Source organism: Homo sapiens, chromosome X (assembly GCF_000001405.40).
Source record: "Homo sapiens chromosome X, GRCh38.p14 Primary Assembly".
Taxonomy (NCBI): domain Eukaryota; kingdom Metazoa; phylum Chordata; class Mammalia; order Primates; family Hominidae; genus Homo; species Homo sapiens.
In genome coordinates this window covers 58,537,829-58,555,579 of record NC_000023.11, presented here as the reverse complement: position 1 = coordinate 58,555,579, position 17,751 = coordinate 58,537,829, and the positions used below count along the sequence as shown (strand labels likewise).

Below are 17,751 nucleotides of genomic sequence, written 5' to 3'. Positions count from 1 at the left end.
GATCCGCAAGGGGATATTTGGACCTCTTTGAAGATTTCGTTGGAAACGGGATAATCTTCACCTAAAAGCTAAACGGAAGCATTCTCAGAAACTTCTTTGGGATGTTTGCATTCACCTCACAGAGTTGAACTTTCCCTTTGATAGCGCAGCTTCGACACACTTTTTCTACAATGTGCAAGTGGATATTTAGCGGGCTTGGAGGACTGTGTTGGAAAAGGAAATATCTTCTCCTAAAAACGACATAGAAGCATTCTCAGAAACTGCTCTGTGATGATTGCATTCAACTCCCAGAGTTGAACACTCCTTTTGATAGTGCAGTTTGCAAACACTCTTTTTGTAGAATCTGCAAGTGGAGATTTGGACCGCTTTGAGGCCTGTGGTAGTAAAGGAAAGAACTTCATATAAAAACTAGACGGTAGCACTCTCAGAAAATTCTTTGTGACGATTGAGTTTAACTCAGGGAGCTGAACATTCGTTATGATGGAGCAGTTTCCAAACACACGTTTTGTAGAATCTGCAAGGGGATATTTGGACCTCTCTGAGGATTTCGTTGGAAACGGGATCAACTTCCCATAACTGAACGGAAGCAAACTCAGAACATTCTTTGTGATGTTTGTATTCAACTCACAGTGTTGAACCTTCCTTTGATAGTTCAGGTTTGCAACACCCTTGTAGTAGAATCTGCAAGTGTATATTTTGACCAGTTTGTAGCCTTCGTTTGAAACGTCTATATCTTCACATCAAACCTAGACAGAAGCATTCTCAGAAAGATTTCTGCGATGACTGCATTCAACTCACAGAGTTGAACAATCCTTTTGATGGAGCAGTTTTGAAACCCTCTTTCTTTGGAATCTGCAAGGGGATATGTGGACCTCTTTGAAGATTTCACTGGAAACGGGATCATCTTCACATAAGAACTAAACAGAAGCATTCTCGGAAACTACTTTGTGATGTTTGTATTCAACTCCCAGAGTTGAACTTTCCTTTTGAAAGAGCAGCTATGAAACACTCTTTTTCGAGAATCTGCAAGTGGACGTTTGGAGGGCTTTGAGGCCTGTGGTGGAAAAGGAAATATCTTCACATAAAAACTAGATAGAAGCATTCTCAGAAACGACTTTGTGAGGATGGCATTCAACTCATGGAGTTGAACAATCCTAATGATAGAGCACATTGGAATCACTCTTTTTGTAGAATCTGCAAATGGAGATTTGGACTGCTTTGAGGCCTACGGTAGTATAGGAAGGAACTTCATATAAAAGGCAAACGGAAGCATTCTCAGAATATTCTTTGTGATGATGGAGTTTCACTCACAGAGCTGAACATGCCTTTTGATGGAGCAGTTTCCAAATACACTTTTGGTAGAATCTGCAGGTGGATATTTGGACCTCTCTGAGGATTTCGTTGGAAACGGGAATAATTTCCCATAACTAAACACAAACACTCTGAGAAAGTTCTTCATGATGAATGCATTGAACTCGCAGAGATGAACCTGCCTTTGAGAGTTCAGGTTCGAAACACTCTTTCTGTAGAATCTGCAAGTGGATATTTGGACCACTGGCTGGCCTTCGTTCGAAACGGGTATATGTTCACGTAAAAACTAAAGAGAAGCGTTCTCATAAACTTCTGAGTGATGATTGCATTCAAGTCACACAGTTGAACCCTCCTTTTGATTGAGCAGTTTTGAAACTGTCTTTTTGTAGAATCTGTAAGTGGATGCGTGGACCTCTTTGAAGATTTCTTTGGAAACGGGAATATTTCCACAGAAAAACTAAACTGAAGCATTCTCAGAAACTGCTTTGTGATGTTTGTGTTCGAGCCACAGAGTTTAACATTGCTTTTCATAGAGCAGTTTTGAAATATTCTTTTGGCAGAATCTGCAAGTGGACATTTGGAGCGCTTTCAGGCCTGTGGTGGAAAAGGCCTGAAAGCCTTTTCCTTTATCTTCACAGAAAGACGAGAGAGAAGCATTGTCAGAAACTTCTTTGTGATGATTGCATTCAACTCACAGAGTTGAAGATTCCTTTTGAAACAGCAGTTTCGAAACACTCTTTCTGTGGGATCCGCAAGGGGATATTTGGACCTCTTTGAAGATTTCGTTGGAAACGGGATAATCTTCACCTAAAAGCTAAACGGAAGCATTCTCAGAAACTTCTTTGGGATGTTTGCATTCACCTCACAGAGTTGAACTTTCCCTTTGATAGCGCAGCTTCGACACACTTTTTCTACAATGTGCAAGTGGATATTTAGCGGGCTTGGAGGACTGTGTTGGAAAAGGAAATATCTTCTCCTAAAAACGACATAGAAGCATTCTCAGAAACTGCTCTGTGATGATTGCATTCAACTCCCAGAGTTGAACATTCCTTTTGATAGAGCAGTTTGCAAACACTCTTTTTGTAGAATCTGCAAGTGGAGATTTGGACCGCTTTGAGGCCTGTGGTAGTAAAGGAAAGAACTTCATATAAAAACTAGACGGTAGCACCCTCAGAAAATTCTTTGTGACGATGGAGTTTAACTCAGAGAGCTGAACATTCGTTATGATGGAGCAGTTTCCAAACACACGTTTTGTAGAATCTGCAAGGGGATATTTGGACCTCTCTGAGGATTTCGTTGGAAACGGGATCAACTTCCCATAACTGAACGGAAGCAAACTCAGAACATTCTTTGTGATGTTTGTATTCAACTCACAGAGTTGAACCTTCCTTTGATAGTTCAGGTTTGCAACACCCTTGTAGTAGAATCTGCAAGTGTATATTTTGACCACTTTGTAGCCTTCGTTTGAAACGTCTATATCTTCACATCAAACCTAGACAGAAGCATTCTCAGAAAGTTTTCTGCGATGACTGCATTCAACTCACAGAGTTGAACAATCCTTTTGATGGAGCAGTTTTGAAACCCTCTTTCTTTGGAATCTGCAAGGGGATATGTGGACCTCTTTGAAGATTTCACTGGAAACGGGATCATCTTCACATAAGAACTAAACAGAAGCATTCTCGGAAACTACTTTGTGATGTTTGTATTCAACTCCCAGAGTTGAACTTTCCTTTTGAAAGAGCAGCTATGAAACACTCTTTTTCGAGAATCTGCAAGTGGACGTTTGGAGGGCTTTGAGGCCTGTGGTGGAAAAGGAAATATCTTCACATAAAAACTAGATAGAAGCATTCTCAGAAACGACTTTGTGAGGATGGCATTCAACTCATGGAGTTGAACAATCCTATTGATAGAGCAGATTGGAATCACTCTTTTTGTAGAATCTGCAAATGGAGATTTGGACTGCTTTGAGGCCTACGGTAGTATAGGAAGGAACTTCATATAAAAGGCAAACGGAAGCATTCTCAGAATATTCTTTGTGATGATGGAGTTTCACTCACAGAGCTGAACATGCCTTTTGATGGAGCAGTTTCCAAATACACTTTTGGTAGAATCTGCAGGTGGATATTTGGACCTCTCTGAGGATTTCGTTGGAAACGGGAATAATTTCCCATAACTAAACACAAACACGCTGAGAAAGTTCTTCATGATGAATGCATTGAACTCGCAGAGATGAACCTGCCTTTGAGAGTTCAGGTTCGAAACACTCTTTCTGTAGAATCTGCAAGTGGATATTTGGACCACTGGCTGGCCTTCGTTCGAAACGGGTATATGTTCACGTAAAAACTAAAGAGAAGCGTTCTCAGAAACTTCTGAGTGATGATTGCATTCAAGTCACACAGTTGAACCCTCCTTTTGATTGAGCAGTTTTGAAACTGTCTTTTTGTAGAATCTGTAAGTGGATGCGTGGACCTCTTTGAAGATTTCTTTGGAAACGGGAATATTTCCACAGAAAAACTAAACTGAAGCATTCTCAGAAACTGCTTTGTGATGTTTGTGTTCGAGCCACAGAGTTTAACATTGCTTTTCATAGAGCAGTTTTGAACTATTCTTTTGGCAGAATCTGCAAGTGGACATTTGGAGCGCTTTCAGGCCTGTGGTGGAAAAGGCCTGAAAGCCTTTTCCTTTATCTTCACAGAAAGACGAGAGAGAAGCATTGTCAGAAACTTCTTTGTGATGATTGCATTCAACTCACAGAGTTGAAGATTCCTTTTGAAACAGCAGTTTCGAAACACTCTTTCTGTGGGATCCGCAAGGGGATATTTGGACCTCTTTGAAGATTTCGTTGGAAACGGGATAATCTTCACCTAAAAGCTAAACGGAAGCATTCTCAGAAACTTCTTTGGGATGTTTGCATTCACCTCACAGAGTTGAACTTTCCCTTTGATAGCGCAGCTTCGACACACTTTTTCTACAATGTGCAAGTGGATATTTAGCGGGCTTGGAGGACTGTGTTGGAAAAGGAAATATCTTCTCCTAAAAACGACATAGAAGCATTCTCAGAAACTGCTCTGTGATGATTGCATTCAACTCCCAGAGTTGAACACTCCTTTTGATAGTGCAGTTTGCAAACACTCTTTTTGTAGAATCTGCAAGTGGAGATTTGGACCGCTTTGAGGCCTGTGGTAGTAAAGGAAAGAACTTCATATAAAAACTAGACGGTAGCACTCTCAGAAAATTCTTTGTGACGATTGAGTTTAACTCAGGGAGCTGAACATTCGTTATGATGGAGCAGTTTCCAAACACACGTTTTGTAGAATCTGCAAGGGGATATTTGGACCTCTCTGAGGATTTCGTTGGAAACGGGATCAACTTCCCATAACTGAACGGAAGCAAACTCAGAACATTCTTTGTGATGTTTGTATTCAACTCACAGTGTTGAACCTTCCTTTGATAGTTCAGGTTTGCAACACCCTTGTAGTAGAATCTGCAAGTGTATATTTTGACCAGTTTGTAGCCTTCGTTTGAAACGTCTATATCTTCACATCAAACCTAGACAGAAGCATTCTCAGAAAGATTTCTGCGATGACTGCATTCAACTCACAGAGTTGAACAATCCTTTTGATGGAGCAGTTTTGAAACCCTCTTTCTTTGGAATCTGCAAGGGGATATGTGGACCTCTTTGAAGATTTCACTGGAAACGGGATCATCTTCACATAAGAACTAAACAGAAGCATTCTCGGAAACTACTTTGTGATGTTTGTATTCAACTCCCAGAGTTGAACTTTCCTTTTGAAAGAGCAGCTATGAAACACTCTTTTTCGAGAATCTGCAAGTGGACGTTTGGAGGGCTTTGAGGCCTGTGGTGGAAAAGGAAATATCTTCACATAAAAACTAGATAGAAGCATTCTCAGAAACGACTTTGTGAGGATGGCATTCAACTCATGGAGTTGAACAATCCTAATGATAGAGCACATTGGAATCACTCTTTTTGTAGAATCTGCAAATGGAGATTTGGACTGCTTTGAGGCCTACGGTAGTATAGGAAGGAACTTCATATAAAAGGCAAACGGAAGCATTCTCAGAATATTCTTTGTGATGATGGAGTTTCACTCACAGAGCTGAACATGCCTTTTGATGGAGCAGTTTCCAAATACACTTTTGGTAGAATCTGCAGGTGGATATTTGGACCTCTCTGAGGATTTCGTTGGAAACGGGAATAATTTCCCATAACTAAACACAAACACTCTGAGAAAGTTCTTCATGATGAATGCATTGAACTCGCAGAGATGAACCTGCCTTTGAGAGTTCAGGTTCGAAACACTCTTTCTGTAGAATCTGCAAGTGGATATTTGGACCACTGGCTGGCCTTCGTTCGAAACGGGTATATGTTCACGTAAAAACTAAAGAGAAGCGTTCTCATAAACTTCTGAGTGATGATTGCATTCAAGTCACACAGTTGAACCCTCCTTTTGATTGAGCAGTTTTGAAACTGTCTTTTTGTAGAATCTGTAAGTGGATGCGTGGACCTCTTTGAAGATTTCTTTGGAAACGGGAATATTTCCACAGAAAAACTAAACTGAAGCATTCTCAGAAACTGCTTTGTGATGTTTGTGTTCGAGCCACAGAGTTTAACATTGCTTTTCATAGAGCAGTTTTGAAATATTCTTTTGGCAGAATCTGCAAGTGGACATTTGGAGCGCTTTCAGGCCTGTGGTGGAAAAGGCCTGAAAGCCTTTTCCTTTATCTTCACAGAAAGACGAGAGAGAAGCATTGTCAGAAACTTCTTTGTGATGATTGCATTCAACTCACAGAGTTGAAGATTCCTTTTGAAACAGCAGTTTCGAAACACTCTTTCTGTGGGATCCGCAAGGGGATATTTGGACCTCTTTGAAGATTTCGTTGGAAACGGGATAATCTTCACCTAAAAGCTAAACGGAAGCATTCTCAGAAACTTCTTTGGGATGTTTGCATTCACCTCACAGAGTTGAACTTTCCCTTTGATAGCGCAGCTTCGACACACTTTTTCTACAATGTGCAAGTGGATATTTAGCGGGCTTGGAGGACTGTGTTGGAAAAGGAAATATCTTCTCCTAAAAACGACATAGAAGCATTCTCAGAAACTGCTCTGTGATGATTGCATTCAACTCCCAGAGTTGAACACTCCTTTTGATAGTGCAGTTTGCAAACACTCTTTTTGTAGAATCTGCAAGTGGAGATTTGGACCGCTTTGAGGCCTGTGGTAGTAAAGGAAAGAACTTCATATAAAAACTAGACGGTAGCACTCTCAGAAAATTCTTTGTGACGATTGAGTTTAACTCAGGGAGCTGAACATTCGTTATGATGGAGCAGTTTCCAAACACACGTTTTGTAGAATCTGCAAGGGGATATTTGGACCTCTCTGAGGATTTCGTTGGAAACGGGATCAACTTCCCATAACTGAACGGAAGCAAACTCAGAACATTCTTTGTGATGTTTGTATTCAACTCACAGTGTTGAACCTTCCTTTGATAGTTCAGGTTTGCAACACCCTTGTAGTAGAATCTGCAAGTGTATATTTTGACCACTTTGTAGCCTTCGTTTGAAACGTCTATATCTTCACATCAAACCTAGACAGAAGCATTCTCAGAAAGATTTCTGCGATGACTGCATTCAACTCACAGAGTTGAACAATCCTTTTGATGGAGCAGTTTTGAAACCCTCTTTCTTTGGAATCTGCAAGGGGATATGTGGACCTCTTTGAAGATTTCACTGGAAACGGGATCATCTTCACATAAGAACTAAACAGAAGCATTCTCGGAAACTACTTTGTGATGTTTGTATTCAACTCCCAGAGTTGAACTTTCCTTTTGAAAGAGCAGCTATGAAACACTCTTTTTCGAGAATCTGCAAGTGGACGTTTGGAGGGCTTTGAGGCCTGTGGTGGAAAAGGAAATATCTTCACATAAAAACTAGATAGAAGCATTCTCAGAAACGACTTTGTGAGGATGGCATTCAACTCATGGAGTTGAACAATCCTAATGATAGAGCACATTGGAATCACTCTTTTTGTAGAATCTGCAAATGGAGATTTGGACTGCTTTGAGGCCTACGGTAGTATAGGAAGGAACTTCATATAAAAGGCAAACGGAAGCATTCTCAGAATATTCTTTGTGATGATGGAGTTTCACTCACAGAGCTGAACATGCCTTTTGATGGAGCAGTTTCCAAATACACTTTTGGTAGAATCTGCAGGTGGATATTTGGACCTCTCTGAGGATTTCGTTGGAAACGGGAATAATTTCCCATAACTAAACACAAACACTCTGAGAAAGTTCTTCATGATGAATGCATTGAACTCGCAGAGATGAACCTGCCTTTGAGAGTTCAGGTTCGAAACACTCTTTCTGTAGAATCTGCAAGTGGATATTTGGACCACTGGCTGGCCTTCGTTCGAAACGGGTATATGTTCACGTAAAAACTAAAGAGAAGCGTTCTCATAAACTTCTGAGTGATGATTGCATTCAAGTCACACAGTTGAACCCTCCTTTTGATTGAGCAGTTTTGAAACTGTCTTTTTGTAGAATCTGTAAGTGGATGCGTGGACCTCTTTGAAGATTTCTTTGGAAACGGGAATATTTCCACAGAAAAACTAAACTGAAGCATTCTCAGAAACTGCTTTGTGATGTTTGTGTTCGAGCCACAGAGTTTAACATTGCTTTTCATAGAGCAGTTTTGAAATATTCTTTTGGCAGAATCTGCAAGTGGACATTTGGAGCGCTTTCAGGCCTGTGGTGGAAAAGGCCTGAAAGCCTTTTCCTTTATCTTCACAGAAAGACGAGAGAGAAGCATTGTCAGAAACTTCTTTGTGATGATTGCATTCAACTCACAGAGTTGAAGATTCCTTTTGAAACAGCAGTTTCGAAACACTCTTTCTGTGGGATCCGCAAGGGGATATTTGGACCTCTTTGAAGATTTCGTTGGAAACGGGATAATCTTCACCTAAAAGCTAAACGGAAGCATTCTCAGAAACTTCTTTGGGATGTTTGCATTCACCTCACAGAGTTGAACTTTCCCTTTGATAGCGCAGCTTCGACACACTTTTTCTACAATGTGCAAGTGGATATTTAGCGGGCTTGGAGGACTGTGTTGGAAAAGGAAATATCTTCTCCTAAAAACGACATAGAAGCATTCTCAGAAACTGCTCTGTGATGATTGCATTCAACTCCCAGAGTTGAACATTCCTTTTGATAGAGCAGTTTGCAAACACTCTTTTTGTAGAATCTGCAAGTGGAGATTTGGACCGCTTTGAGGCCTGTGGTAGTAAAGGAAAGAACTTCATATAAAAACTAGACGGTAGCACCCTCAGAAAATTCTTTGTGACGATGGAGTTTAACTCAGAGAGCTGAACATTCGTTATGATGGAGCAGTTTCCAAACACACGTTTTGTAGAATCTGCAAGGGGATATTTGGACCTCTCTGAGGATTTCGTTGGAAACGGGATCAACTTCCCATAACTGAACGGAAGCAAACTCAGAACATTCTTTGTGATGTTTGTATTCAACTCACAGAGTTGAACCTTCCTTTGATAGTTCAGGTTTGCAACACCCTTGTAGTAGAATCTGCAAGTGTATATTTTGACCACTTTGTAGCCTTCGTTTGAAACGTCTATATCTTCACATCAAACCTAGACAGAAGCATTCTCAGAAAGTTTTCTGCGATGACTGCATTCAACTCACAGAGTTGAACAATCCTTTTGATGGAGCAGTTTTGAAACCCTCTTTCTTTGGAATCTGCAAGGGGATATGTGGACCTCTTTGAAGATTTCACTGGAAACGGGATCATCTTCACATAAGAACTAAACAGAAGCATTCTCGGAAACTACTTTGTGATGTTTGTATTCAACTCCCAGAGTTGAACTTTCCTTTTGAAAGAGCAGCTATGAAACACTCTTTTTCGAGAATCTGCAAGTGGACGTTTGGAGGGCTTTGAGGCCTGTGGTGGAAAAGGAAATATCTTCACATAAAAACTAGATAGAAGCATTCTCAGAAACGACTTTGTGAGGATGGCATTCAACTCATGGAGTTGAACAATCCTATTGATAGAGCAGATTGGAATCACTCTTTTTGTAGAATCTGCAAATGGAGATTTGGACTGCTTTGAGGCCTACGGTAGTATAGGAAGGAACTTCATATAAAAGGCAAACGGAAGCATTCTCAGAATATTCTTTGTGATGATGGAGTTTCACTCACAGAGCTGAACATGCCTTTTGATGGAGCAGTTTCCAAATACACTTTTGGTAGAATCTGCAGGTGGATATTTGGACCTCTCTGAGGATTTCGTTGGAAACGGGAATAATTTCCCATAACTAAACACAAACACGCTGAGAAAGTTCTTCATGATGAATGCATTGAACTCGCAGAGATGAACCTGCCTTTGAGAGTTCAGGTTCGAAACACTCTTTCTGTAGAATCTGCAAGTGGATATTTGGACCACTGGCTGGCCTTCGTTCGAAACGGGTATATGTTCACGTAAAAACTAAAGAGAAGCGTTCTCAGAAACTTCTGAGTGATGATTGCATTCAAGTCACACAGTTGAACCCTCCTTTTGATTGAGCAGTTTTGAAACTGTCTTTTTGTAGAATCTGTAAGTGGATGCGTGGACCTCTTTGAAGATTTCTTTGGAAACGGGAATATTTCCACAGAAAAACTAAACTGAAGCATTCTCAGAAACTGCTTTGTGATGTTTGTGTTCGAGCCACAGAGTTTAACATTGCTTTTCATAGAGCAGTTTTGAACTATTCTTTTGGCAGAATCTGCAAGTGGACATTTGGAGCGCTTTCAGGCCTGTGGTGGAAAAGGCCTGAAAGCCTTTTCCTTTATCTTCACAGAAAGACGAGAGAGAAGCATTGTCAGAAACTTCTTTGTGATGATTGCATTCAACTCACAGAGTTGAAGATTCCTTTTGAAACAGCAGTTTCGAAACACTCTTTCTGTGGGATCCGCAAGGGGATATTTGGACCTCTTTGAAGATTTCGTTGGAAACGGGATAATCTTCACCTAAAAGCTAAACGGAAGCATTCTCAGAAACTTCTTTGGGATGTTTGCATTCACCTCACAGAGTTGAACTTTCCCTTTGATAGCGCAGCTTCGACACACTTTTTCTACAATGTGCAAGTGGATATTTAGCGGGCTTGGAGGACTGTGTTGGAAAAGGAAATATCTTCTCCTAAAAACGACATAGAAGCATTCTCAGAAACTGCTCTGTGATGATTGCATTCAACTCCCAGAGTTGAACACTCCTTTTGATAGTGCAGTTTGCAAACACTCTTTTTGTAGAATCTGCAAGTGGAGATTTGGACCGCTTTGAGGCCTGTGGTAGTAAAGGAAAGAACTTCATATAAAAACTAGACGGTAGCACTCTCAGAAAATTCTTTGTGACGATTGAGTTTAACTCAGGGAGCTGAACATTCGTTATGATGGAGCAGTTTCCAAACACACGTTTTGTAGAATCTGCAAGGGGATATTTGGACCTCTCTGAGGATTTCGTTGGAAACGGGATCAACTTCCCATAACTGAACGGAAGCAAACTCAGAACATTCTTTGTGATGTTTGTATTCAACTCACAGTGTTGAACCTTCCTTTGATAGTTCAGGTTTGCAACACCCTTGTAGTAGAATCTGCAAGTGTATATTTTGACCACTTTGTAGCCTTCGTTTGAAACGTCTATATCTTCACATCAAACCTAGACAGAAGCATTCTCAGAAAGATTTCTGCGATGACTGCATTCAACTCACAGAGTTGAACAATCCTTTTGATGGAGCAGTTTTGAAACCCTCTTTCTTTGGAATCTGCAAGGGGATATGTGGACCTCTTTGAAGATTTCACTGGAAACGGGATCATCTTCACATAAGAACTAAACAGAAGCATTCTCGGAAACTACTTTGTGATGTTTGTATTCAACTCCCAGAGTTGAACTTTCCTTTTGAAAGAGCAGCTATGAAACACTCTTTTTCGAGAATCTGCAAGTGGACGTTTGGAGGGCTTTGAGGCCTGTGGTGGAAAAGGAAATATCTTCACATAAAAACTAGATAGAAGCATTCTCAGAAACGACTTTGTGAGGATGGCATTCAACTCATGGAGTTGAACAATCCTAATGATAGAGCACATTGGAATCACTCTTTTTGTAGAATCTGCAAATGGAGATTTGGACTGCTTTGAGGCCTACGGTAGTATAGGAAGGAACTTCATATAAAAGGCAAACGGAAGCATTCTCAGAATATTCTTTGTGATGATGGAGTTTCACTCACAGAGCTGAACATGCCTTTTGATGGAGCAGTTTCCAAATACACTTTTGGTAGAATCTGCAGGTGGATATTTGGACCTCTCTGAGGATTTCGTTGGAAACGGGAATAATTTCCCATAACTAAACACAAACACTCTGAGAAAGTTCTTCATGATGAATGCATTGAACTCGCAGAGATGAACCTGCCTTTGAGAGTTCAGGTTCGAAACACTCTTTCTGTAGAATCTGCAAGTGGATATTTGGACCACTGGCTGGCCTTCGTTCGAAACGGGTATATGTTCACGTAAAAACTAAAGAGAAGCGTTCTCATAAACTTCTGAGTGATGATTGCATTCAAGTCACACAGTTGAACCCTCCTTTTGATTGAGCAGTTTTGAAACTGTCTTTTTGTAGAATCTGTAAGTGGATGCGTGGACCTCTTTGAAGATTTCTTTGGAAACGGGAATATTTCCACAGAAAAACTAAACTGAAGCATTCTCAGAAACTGCTTTGTGATGTTTGTGTTCGAGCCACAGAGTTTAACATTGCTTTTCATAGAGCAGTTTTGAAATATTCTTTTGGCAGAATCTGCAAGTGGACATTTGGAGCGCTTTCAGGCCTGTGGTGGAAAAGGCCTGAAAGCCTTTTCCTTTATCTTCACAGAAAGACGAGAGAGAAGCATTGTCAGAAACTTCTTTGTGATGATTGCATTCAACTCACAGAGTTGAAGATTCCTTTTGAAACAGCAGTTTCGAAACACTCTTTCTGTGGGATCCGCAAGGGGATATTTGGACCTCTTTGAAGATTTCGTTGGAAACGGGATAATCTTCACCTAAAAGCTAAACGGAAGCATTCTCAGAAACTTCTTTGGGATGTTTGCATTCACCTCACAGAGTTGAACTTTCCCTTTGATAGCGCAGCTTCGACACACTTTTTCTACAATGTGCAAGTGGATATTTAGCGGGCTTGGAGGACTGTGTTGGAAAAGGAAATATCTTCTCCTAAAAACGACATAGAAGCATTCTCAGAAACTGCTCTGTGATGATTGCATTCAACTCCCAGAGTTGAACATTCCTTTTGATAGAGCAGTTTGCAAACACTCTTTTTGTAGAATCTGCAAGTGGAGATTTGGACCGCTTTGAGGCCTGTGGTAGTAAAGGAAAGAACTTCATATAAAAACTAGACGGTAGCACCCTCAGAAAATTCTTTGTGACGATGGAGTTTAACTCAGAGAGCTGAACATTCGTTATGATGGAGCAGTTTCCAAACACACGTTTTGTAGAATCTGCAAGGGGATATTTGGACCTCTCTGAGGATTTCGTTGGAAACGGGATCAACTTCCCATAACTGAACGGAAGCAAACTCAGAACATTCTTTGTGATGTTTGTATTCAACTCACAGAGTTGAACCTTCCTTTGATAGTTCAGGTTTGCAACACCCTTGTAGTAGAATCTGCAAGTGTATATTTTGACCACTTTGTAGCCTTCGTTTGAAACGTCTATATCTTCACATCAAACCTAGACAGAAGCATTCTCAGAAAGTTTTCTGCGATGACTGCATTCAACTCACAGAGTTGAACAATCCTTTTGATGGAGCAGTTTTGAAACCCTCTTTCTTTGGAATCTGCAAGGGGATATGTGGACCTCTTTGAAGATTTCACTGGAAACGGGATCATCTTCACATAAGAACTAAACAGAAGCATTCTCGGAAACTACTTTGTGATGTTTGTATTCAACTCCCAGAGTTGAACTTTCCTTTTGAAAGAGCAGCTATGAAACACTCTTTTTCGAGAATCTGCAAGTGGACGTTTGGAGGGCTTTGAGGCCTGTGGTGGAAAAGGAAATATCTTCACATAAAAACTAGATAGAAGCATTCTCAGAAACGACTTTGTGAGGATGGCATTCAACTCATGGAGTTGAACAATCCTATTGATAGAGCAGATTGGAATCACTCTTTTTGTAGAATCTGCAAATGGAGATTTGGACTGCTTTGAGGCCTACGGTAGTATAGGAAGGAACTTCATATAAAAGGCAAACGGAAGCATTCTCAGAATATTCTTTGTGATGATGGAGTTTCACTCACAGAGCTGAACATGCCTTTTGATGGAGCAGTTTCCAAATACACTTTTGGTAGAATCTGCAGGTGGATATTTGGACCTCTCTGAGGATTTCGTTGGAAACGGGAATAATTTCCCATAACTAAACACAAACACGCTGAGAAAGTTCTTCATGATGAATGCATTGAACTCGCAGAGATGAACCTGCCTTTGAGAGTTCAGGTTCGAAACACTCTTTCTGTAGAATCTGCAAGTGGATATTTGGACCACTGGCTGGCCTTCGTTCGAAACGGGTATATGTTCACGTAAAAACTAAAGAGAAGCGTTCTCAGAAACTTCTGAGTGATGATTGCATTCAAGTCACACAGTTGAACCCTCCTTTTGATTGAGCAGTTTTGAAACTGTCTTTTTGTAGAATCTGTAAGTGGATGCGTGGACCTCTTTGAAGATTTCTTTGGAAACGGGAATATTTCCACAGAAAAACTAAACTGAAGCATTCTCAGAAACTGCTTTGTGATGTTTGTGTTCGAGCCACAGAGTTTAACATTGCTTTTCATAGAGCAGTTTTGAACTATTCTTTTGGCAGAATCTGCAAGTGGACATTTGGAGCGCTTTCAGGCCTGTGGTGGAAAAGGCCTGAAAGCCTTTTCCTTTATCTTCACAGAAAGACGAGAGAGAAGCATTGTCAGAAACTTCTTTGTGATGATTGCATTCAACTCACAGAGTTGAAGATTCCTTTTGAAACAGCAGTTTCGAAACACTCTTTCTGTGGGATCCGCAAGGGGATATTTGGACCTCTTTGAAGATTTCGTTGGAAACGGGATAATCTTCACCTAAAAGCTAAACGGAAGCATTCTCAGAAACTTCTTTGGGATGTTTGCATTCACCTCACAGAGTTGAACTTTCCCTTTGATAGCGCAGCTTCGACACACTTTTTCTACAATGTGCAAGTGGATATTTAGCGGGCTTGGAGGACTGTGTTGGAAAAGGAAATATCTTCTCCTAAAAACGACATAGAAGCATTCTCAGAAACTGCTCTGTGATGATTGCATTCAACTCCCAGAGTTGAACACTCCTTTTGATAGAGCAGTTTGCAAACACTCTTTTTGTAGAATCTGCAAGTGGAGATTTGGACCGCTTTGAGGCCTGTGGTAGTAAAGGAAAGAACTTCATATAAAAACTAGACGGTAGCACTCTCAGAAAATTCTTTGTGACGATTGAGTTTAACTCAGGGAGCTGAACATTCGTTATGATGGAGCAGTTTCCAAACACACGTTTTGTAGAATCTGCAAGGGGATATTTGGACCTCTCTGAGGATTTCGTTGGAAACGGGATCAACTTCCCATAACTGAACGGAAGCAAACTCAGAACATTCTTTGTGATGTTTGTATTCAACTCACAGTGTTGAACCTTCCTTTGATAGTTCAGGTTTGCAACACCCTTGTAGTAGAATCTGCAAGTGTATATTTTGACCAGTTTGTAGCCTTCGTTTGAAACGTCTATATCTTCACATCAAACCTAGACAGAAGCATTCTCAGAAAGATTTCTGCGATGACTGCATTCAACTCACAGAGTTGAACAATCCTTTTGATGGAGCAGTTTTGAAACCCTCTTTCTTTGGAATCTGCAAGGGGATAAGTGGACCTCTTTGAAGATTTCACTGGAAACGGGATCATCTTCACATAAAAACTAAACAGAAGCATTCTCGGAAACTACTTTGTGATGTCTGTATTCAACTCCCAGAGTTGAACTTTCCTTTTGAAAGAGCAGCTATGAAACACTCTTTTTCGAGAATCTGCAAGTGGACGTTTGGAGGGCTTTGAGGCCTGTGGTGGAAAAGGAAATATCTTCACATGAAAACTAGATAGAAGCATTCTCAGAAACTACTTTGTGAGGATGGCATTCAACTCATGGAGTTGAACAATCCTATTGATAGAGCAGATTGGAATCACTCTTTTTGTAGAATCTGCAAATGGAGATTTGGACTGCTTTGAGGCCTACGGTAGTATAGGAAGGAACTTCATATAAAAAGCAAACGGAAGCATTCTCAGAGTATTCTTTGTGATGATGGAGTTTAACTCACAGAGCTGAACATGCCTTTTGATGGAGCAGTTTCCAAATACACTTTTGGTAGAATCTGCAGGTGGATATTTGGACCTCTCTGAGGATCTCGTTGGAAACGGGAATAATTTCCCATAACTAAACACAAACACTCTGAGAAAGTTCTTCATGATGAATGCATTTAACTCACAGAGATGAACCTTCCTTTCAGAGTTTAGGTTTGAAACACTCTTTCTGTAGAATCTGCAAGTGGATATTTGGACCACTGGGTGGCCTTCGTTCGAAACGGGTATATGTTCACGTAAAAACTAAAGAGAAGCATTCTCAGAAACTTCTGAGTGATGATTGCATTCAAGTCACACGGTTGAACCCTCCTTTTGATGGAGCAGTTTTGAAACTGTCTTTTTGTAGAATCTGTAAGTGGATATGTTGGACCTCTTTGAAGATTTCTTTGGAAACGGGAATATTTCCACAGAAAAACTAAACTGAAGCATTCTCAGAAACTGCTTTGTGATGTTTGTGTTCGAGCCACAGAGTTTAACATTGCTTCTCATAGAGCAGTTTCGAAATATTCTTTTGGCAGAATCTGCAAGTGGACATTTGGAGCGCTTTCAGGCCTGTGGTGGAAAAGGCCTGAAAGCCTTTTCCTTTATCTTCACAGAAAGACGGGAGAGAAGCATTGTCAGAAACTTCTTTGTGATGATTGCATTCAACTCACAGAGTTGAAGATTCCTTTTGAAACAGCAGTTTCGAAACACTCTTTCTGTGGGATCCGCAAGGGGATATTTGGACCTCTTTGAAGATTTCGTTGGAAACGGGATAATCTTCACCTAAAAGCTAAACGGAAGCATTCTCAGAAACTTCCTTGGGATGTTTGCATTCACCTCGCAGAGTTGAACTTTCCCTTTGATAGCGCAGCTTCGACACACTTTTTCTACAATGTGCAAGTGGATATTTAGCGGGCTTGGAGGACTGTGTTGGAAAAGGAAATATCTTCTCCTAAAAACGACATAGAAGCATTCTCAGAAACTGCTCGGTGATGATTGCATTCAACTCCCAGAGTTGAACATTCCTCTTGATAGAGCAGTTTGCAAACACTCTTTTTGTGGAATCTGCAAGTGCAGATTTGGACCGCTTTGAGGCCTGTGGTAGTAAAGGAAAGAACTTCATATAAAAACTAGACGGTAGCACTCTCAGAAAATTCTTTGTGACGATTGAGTTTAACTCAGGGAGCTGAACATTCGTTATGATGGAGCAGTTTCCAAACACACTTTTTGTAGAATCTGCAAGGGGATATTTGGACCTCTCTGAGGATTTCTTTGGAAACGGGATCAGCTTCCCATACCTGAACGGAAGCAAACTCAGAACATTCTTTGTGATGTTTGTATTCAACTCACAGAGTTGAACCTTCCTTTGATAGTTCAGGTTTGCAACACCCTTGTAGTAGAATCTGCAAGTGTATATTTTGACCACTTTGTAGCCTTCGCTTGAAATGTCTATATCTTCACATCAAACCTAGACAGAAGCATTCTCAGAAAGTTTTCTGCGATGACTGCATTCAACTCACAGAGTTGAACAATCCTTTTGATGGAGCAGTTTTGAAATCCTCTTTCTTTGGAATCTGCAAGGGGATAAGTGGACCTCTTTGAAGAATTCACTGGAAACGGGATCATTTTCACATAAAAACTAAACAGAAGCATTCTCGGAAACTACTTTGTGATGTCTGTATTCAACTCCCAGAGTTGAACTTTCCTTTTGAAAGAGCAGCTATGAAACACTCTTTTTCGAGAATCTGCAAGTGGACGTTTGGAGGGCTTTGAGGCCTGTGGTGGAAAAGGAAATATCTTCACATGAAAACTAGATAGAAGCATTCTCAGAAACTACTTTGTGAGGATGGCATTCAACTCATGGAGTTGAACAATCCTATTGATAGAGCAGATTGGAATCACTCTTTTTGTAGAATCTGCAAATGGAGATTTGGACTGCTTTGAGGCCTACGGTAGTATAGGAAGGAACTTCATATAAAAAGCAAACGGAAGCATTCTCAGAGTATTCTTTGGGAT

The 17,751-nt window shown here is 40.5% G+C and overlaps 14 annotated features.

Annotated features, from left to right (window-relative positions):
• Nucleotides 415–1,080: an enhancer, noted in NCBI's record as "OCT4-NANOG-H3K27ac-H3K4me1 hESC enhancer chrX:58580933-58581598 (GRCh37/hg19 assembly coordinates)". NCBI's record gives its function as "activates a minimal SCP1, AML or CMV promoter by ChIP-STARR-seq in naive H9 embryonic stem cells {active_cell/tissue: H9 hESC(naive)}" and the evidence as "EXISTENCE:reporter gene assay evidence [ECO:0000049][PMID:30033119]".
• Nucleotides 1,081–1,746: an enhancer, noted in NCBI's record as "OCT4-NANOG-H3K27ac-H3K4me1 hESC enhancer chrX:58580267-58580932 (GRCh37/hg19 assembly coordinates)". NCBI's record gives its function as "activates a minimal SCP1, AML or CMV promoter by ChIP-STARR-seq in naive and primed H9 embryonic stem cells {active_cell/tissue: H9 hESC(naive and primed)}" and the evidence as "EXISTENCE:reporter gene assay evidence [ECO:0000049][PMID:30033119]".
• Nucleotides 1,747–2,414: an enhancer, noted in NCBI's record as "OCT4-NANOG-H3K27ac-H3K4me1 hESC enhancer chrX:58579599-58580266 (GRCh37/hg19 assembly coordinates)". NCBI's record gives its function as "activates a minimal SCP1, AML or CMV promoter by ChIP-STARR-seq in primed H9 embryonic stem cells {active_cell/tissue: H9 hESC(primed)}" and the evidence as "EXISTENCE:reporter gene assay evidence [ECO:0000049][PMID:30033119]".
• Nucleotides 3,081–3,748: an enhancer, noted in NCBI's record as "OCT4-NANOG-H3K27ac-H3K4me1 hESC enhancer chrX:58578265-58578932 (GRCh37/hg19 assembly coordinates)". NCBI's record gives its function as "activates a minimal SCP1, AML or CMV promoter by ChIP-STARR-seq in primed H9 embryonic stem cells {active_cell/tissue: H9 hESC(primed)}" and the evidence as "EXISTENCE:reporter gene assay evidence [ECO:0000049][PMID:30033119]".
• Nucleotides 5,083–5,748: an enhancer, noted in NCBI's record as "OCT4-NANOG-H3K27ac-H3K4me1 hESC enhancer chrX:58576265-58576930 (GRCh37/hg19 assembly coordinates)". NCBI's record gives its function as "activates a minimal SCP1, AML or CMV promoter by ChIP-STARR-seq in primed H9 embryonic stem cells {active_cell/tissue: H9 hESC(primed)}" and the evidence as "EXISTENCE:reporter gene assay evidence [ECO:0000049][PMID:30033119]".
• Nucleotides 7,081–7,748: an enhancer, noted in NCBI's record as "OCT4-NANOG-H3K27ac-H3K4me1 hESC enhancer chrX:58574265-58574932 (GRCh37/hg19 assembly coordinates)". NCBI's record gives its function as "activates a minimal SCP1, AML or CMV promoter by ChIP-STARR-seq in primed H9 embryonic stem cells {active_cell/tissue: H9 hESC(primed)}" and the evidence as "EXISTENCE:reporter gene assay evidence [ECO:0000049][PMID:30033119]".
• Nucleotides 7,749–8,414: an enhancer, noted in NCBI's record as "OCT4-NANOG-H3K27ac-H3K4me1 hESC enhancer chrX:58573599-58574264 (GRCh37/hg19 assembly coordinates)". NCBI's record gives its function as "activates a minimal SCP1, AML or CMV promoter by ChIP-STARR-seq in primed H9 embryonic stem cells {active_cell/tissue: H9 hESC(primed)}" and the evidence as "EXISTENCE:reporter gene assay evidence [ECO:0000049][PMID:30033119]".
• Nucleotides 9,083–9,748: an enhancer, noted in NCBI's record as "OCT4-NANOG-H3K27ac-H3K4me1 hESC enhancer chrX:58572265-58572930 (GRCh37/hg19 assembly coordinates)". NCBI's record gives its function as "activates a minimal SCP1, AML or CMV promoter by ChIP-STARR-seq in primed H9 embryonic stem cells {active_cell/tissue: H9 hESC(primed)}" and the evidence as "EXISTENCE:reporter gene assay evidence [ECO:0000049][PMID:30033119]".
• Nucleotides 10,417–11,082: an enhancer, noted in NCBI's record as "OCT4-NANOG-H3K27ac-H3K4me1 hESC enhancer chrX:58570931-58571596 (GRCh37/hg19 assembly coordinates)". NCBI's record gives its function as "activates a minimal SCP1, AML or CMV promoter by ChIP-STARR-seq in primed H9 embryonic stem cells {active_cell/tissue: H9 hESC(primed)}" and the evidence as "EXISTENCE:reporter gene assay evidence [ECO:0000049][PMID:30033119]".
• Nucleotides 11,749–12,414: an enhancer, noted in NCBI's record as "OCT4-NANOG-H3K27ac-H3K4me1 hESC enhancer chrX:58569599-58570264 (GRCh37/hg19 assembly coordinates)". NCBI's record gives its function as "activates a minimal SCP1, AML or CMV promoter by ChIP-STARR-seq in primed H9 embryonic stem cells {active_cell/tissue: H9 hESC(primed)}" and the evidence as "EXISTENCE:reporter gene assay evidence [ECO:0000049][PMID:30033119]".
• Nucleotides 13,083–13,748: an enhancer, noted in NCBI's record as "OCT4-NANOG-H3K27ac-H3K4me1 hESC enhancer chrX:58568265-58568930 (GRCh37/hg19 assembly coordinates)". NCBI's record gives its function as "activates a minimal SCP1, AML or CMV promoter by ChIP-STARR-seq in primed H9 embryonic stem cells {active_cell/tissue: H9 hESC(primed)}" and the evidence as "EXISTENCE:reporter gene assay evidence [ECO:0000049][PMID:30033119]".
• Nucleotides 13,749–14,416: an enhancer, noted in NCBI's record as "OCT4-NANOG-H3K27ac-H3K4me1 hESC enhancer chrX:58567597-58568264 (GRCh37/hg19 assembly coordinates)". NCBI's record gives its function as "activates a minimal SCP1, AML or CMV promoter by ChIP-STARR-seq in primed H9 embryonic stem cells {active_cell/tissue: H9 hESC(primed)}" and the evidence as "EXISTENCE:reporter gene assay evidence [ECO:0000049][PMID:30033119]".
• Nucleotides 15,083–15,750: an enhancer, noted in NCBI's record as "OCT4-NANOG-H3K27ac-H3K4me1 hESC enhancer chrX:58566263-58566930 (GRCh37/hg19 assembly coordinates)". NCBI's record gives its function as "activates a minimal SCP1, AML or CMV promoter by ChIP-STARR-seq in primed H9 embryonic stem cells {active_cell/tissue: H9 hESC(primed)}" and the evidence as "EXISTENCE:reporter gene assay evidence [ECO:0000049][PMID:30033119]".
• Nucleotides 15,751–16,416: an enhancer, noted in NCBI's record as "OCT4-NANOG-H3K27ac-H3K4me1 hESC enhancer chrX:58565597-58566262 (GRCh37/hg19 assembly coordinates)". NCBI's record gives its function as "activates a minimal SCP1, AML or CMV promoter by ChIP-STARR-seq in naive H9 embryonic stem cells {active_cell/tissue: H9 hESC(naive)}" and the evidence as "EXISTENCE:reporter gene assay evidence [ECO:0000049][PMID:30033119]".